Genomic DNA, 3,623 nt, shown 5'->3' with positions numbered 1-3,623 from the left:
TTGGCCCTGGCCCCTCCCCTGTGCTTCCTGCACCTGCATGGGACATGACAAGACACTCAGCTGAAAGCAGCCAACGCCCTCCTGTCCGTACCCCACTGCCCCCTTGTTTTGCCAAGCAAATGGCCTCACTGTCAGTCTACCCAATGTTTCAGGCCCGAACACGGAGTCATCCTCTGTCCCTTGGTTCTCCTCATCCCCCACCTCCAAGTACCCTCTGTGCCATCCTTTCCCCCACGCAGCTGTTCCAGCCCAAGCCACCTCGGCCCTGCCTGGACCACCAGGCTGGTCTGTCCCTGTGGTCTTTGGCTGTGAGCCTTTAAAACACAGTCAGGGGTTTGTTCCTCTACCCGGGCCCTTCACTGGCTTCACTTTGCCCCAGAAATAAACTCCAAAAGCTTTTCCAGGCATGTGTGGTCTGCAGGGGTAGCCCCCAGGTCTCCTTGCCACCCTGAAGTCTGAGACCTCACCTGGGCTCAGGGCTCCTTGGCTAGGGCCTGGCCACAATTCTCCAAGGGGCGCTCAGGTGGCCCCAGGGCCTTTGCACTTTTTATTCCCCCATTTCCTCCCTCCTTTAATTTCAATTTCAACCCAAAGACAGCTCAGAGGTGCCTTCCCCTAAGCCCCACCCTCACCCCCATCAGGGTGAGCACCCTCCCTGTGTCGCCCCCACCAGGGTGAGCACCCTCCCTGTGTCGCCCCCACCAGGGTGAGCACCCTCCCTGTGTCGCCCCCACCAGGGTGAGCACCCTCCCTGTGTCGCCCCCACCAGGGTGAGCACCCTCCCTGTGTCGCCCCCACCAGGGTGAGCACCCTCCCTGTGTCGCCCCCACCAGGGTGAGCACCCTCCCTGTGTCGCCCCCACCAGGGTGAGCACCCTCCCTGTGTCGCCCCCACCAGGGTGAGCACCCTCCCTGTGTCGCCCCCACCAGGGTGAGCACCCTCCCTGTGTCGCCCCCACCAGGGTGAGCACCCTCCCTGTGTCGCCCCCACCAGGGTGAGCACCCTCCCTGTGTCGCCCCCACCAGGGTGAGCACCCTCCCTGTGTCGCCCCCACCAGGGTGAGCACCCTCCCTGTGTCGCCCCCATCAGGGTGAGCACCCTCCCTGTGTCGCCCCCATCAGGGTGAGCACCCTCCCTGTGCACAACATTGACGTGCGTTCCTGTTGCTGTTTGTTTGTCCTCTGTAGGGTCCAGGAGAGCAGAGCCTTTGCTGAGTCCCAGCTTTACCCCCAGAGCCCACAACATGCCTGGTTTACAGTCGGTGCTGGATAAATGGGTTGAACTCATAAGGCTAAGGGAGGGAAGGGGTAAGGCAAGCTGCATACTTGTGGCCAGCAACCCTTAACTGGACTGCAGATGTGTTTGGGGCCTTTAAAAAAAGTTTATGTTAAAAGGGAGTTGTTTTCATGTTGGAACCCAGATGTGCTGGCCCGCTGCCCGCTGTACCTGCCATCTACTCACATCCCCGCCTGGCATCCCAGATGTGGGATTGGCTTGTGTGGAATATGAGAGCAGAGAGGAACGGGGTAATGGCAGGAGACTGGTGAGGCACAGCCCTTCCTTGAGGCTGAGGTGTCCGAGGAAACATCGTCCATCTGGGAGCAAGGCCCAGAAGGTCACACAGCCCTGGAAGTCACACCGCCCAAAGACACAGGCAGGGAGGAGGCAGACCCGCCCCCGGAGAATCCAAGGCAAATCCAGGCCAGCGACGAGGGGGCTCAGAAGAATCCCCCACAGAGGCCCAGGCAGGAAAGGAGGTGCATGGAGCTCCTACTTCTTAGCTGGGAACCGGGCTGAGTTCTGGCGCTCCAGGCAGGGAGACACCATGAGGCCTTCTTCAGAACCCTCCTATGCGGGAACAGCTAATGCACTTTTGAAGCAAACTCACCCACGGTCCCAAGAACAGACCCCAAATGTCTCACTCCATCAGTGATTCGTAACACTGGCTTCAAATTAGGGTCACTGGTGAATCAAAACAAAAAGTACCTGCGTCAGGGTCTTAGCTGGGATCAGATCAATTAAATCAGTTTCTGAAAGTGGGGTCTGGATTTAGGGGGTCATAGAACTTTCTGGGGGATTCCAATGAGCAGCCAGGACTAAAAATCCCTGGGCTTCAATATAAGGATCAGGGTGAGTTTTAAAAACATCTCCCAAAGCTAAAGAAGAGAGCAGGCAGTGGAGGAGAGAATAAAGAGAAGGATGGAGGGAGAGACAGGAGGAGGAATCAGAGTAAGCAGAGACTGAAGGCTGCTAAGGACCAGCAGGGACGCTGCAGATGGGGAGTGGGCGGGCCGGGGGCTGAGCTGCGTCTGTATTGGGCCCGCAGTCCCTCGCTGCTTGCTCCAAATCCTCCCCATCTGAATCTGAGAGCCCCCTCCCACCCTCTCTTCGCCTCAGGAAAGACACTGGAGGCTGCAGCGCAGTGATCAGGAAGAGCAGGCCAGCCTTGGTGTCCACCCCTCCCAGGCGTGTAGTCTGGGGCCCTTCCCATTGCCACCTCCCTTCCCCAGCTCTTTGCCGGTGTGGAAAGCGCCCTGGCGTCGACACTGTTTAGAGTGGCCCATTCTGTTTTCCTACTTCCATGCTTCATTCCCATCTCACACTGGGACATCACTCCTCCCCTAGTGTCCAGCACTGTGGCTCTTTTTATTTAAATGGCACACAGTAATTGTGATGTTCTGACACTTAGAGTGTATTGTGATGAAATCAGGGTAATTAGCATACCCACCACCTCAAGCATTGATGAGTTCATGTTGAGAACATTCAAAATCCTTTCTTCTGGTTGCTTCAAAGTATTGTTAACTGTAGACCCCTGCAGTGCTATGGATGCTAAAAATTATTCTTCCTATCTAGCTGTGATTTTGTATCAGCTAACCACCCTCTCACTCTCCCCAACCCTTCCCAAGCCTGGTAGCCACCATTTTACTCTGCTTCTATGAGATCAACTTTCTTTTAGTTTCCACATATGAATGAAACATGCAATATTTGTCTTTCTGTTCTTGGCATATTTCATTTAACATAATGTCCCCCAGTTCCATGTATGCTGCCATGAATGACAGGATTTGAACATTTTTCATGGCTGAGTAGTATTCTAATTTCTATCTGTACCACATTTTCTTTATCCAATAGTCTGTGGATGGACACCTGGGTTGATTCCATATCTTGGCTATTGTGAATCATGCTGCAATAAACATGGAGATAAAGTGTCTCCTTAGTGTACTGATTTCCTCCTTTTTTTTTTTTTGGATAAATCCCAGCAGTGGGATTGCTGGATCATATGGTAACTCTATTTTTAGTTTTTTGAAAAATCTCCACATTGTTCTCCATAGAGGCTGTACTAATCTACATTCCCCCCAACAGTGTGTAAGAGTTCCCTTTTCTCCACTTCCTCACCAGCATTTGTTACTCTTTGTCTTTTTGATAACAACCATCCTCCTGGTCGGTGGTGGTGGCGGGGGGCGGGTGTTGGTATCTCATTGTGATTTTGATTTGCATTTCCCTGATGATTAGTGTTGAGCATTTTTTCAGGCCTGTTGCCCATTCATATGTCTTCTGAGAAATGTCTATTCAGATTGTTTGCCCATTTTTAAATCTGATTACTTGTTTTTTGCCATTGAGTTGTT

At 53.2% G+C, this 3,623-nt stretch overlaps 1 annotated feature.

The window, feature by feature from the left end:
* Window positions 2,353-3,028: an enhancer, noted in NCBI's record as "OCT4-NANOG-H3K4me1 hESC enhancer chr6:170227060-170227735 (GRCh37/hg19 assembly coordinates)". NCBI's record gives its function as "activates a minimal SCP1, AML or CMV promoter by ChIP-STARR-seq in naive H9 embryonic stem cells {active_cell/tissue: H9 hESC(naive)}" and the evidence as "EXISTENCE:reporter gene assay evidence [ECO:0000049][PMID:30033119]".

This window comes from Homo sapiens, chromosome 6 (genome assembly GCF_000001405.40).
Source record: "Homo sapiens chromosome 6, GRCh38.p14 Primary Assembly".
Taxonomy (NCBI): Eukaryota; Metazoa; Chordata; class Mammalia; order Primates; family Hominidae; genus Homo; species Homo sapiens.
The sequence above is the reverse complement of the archived record's forward strand: the minus strand, read 5'-3'. Positions and strand labels throughout refer to the sequence as shown.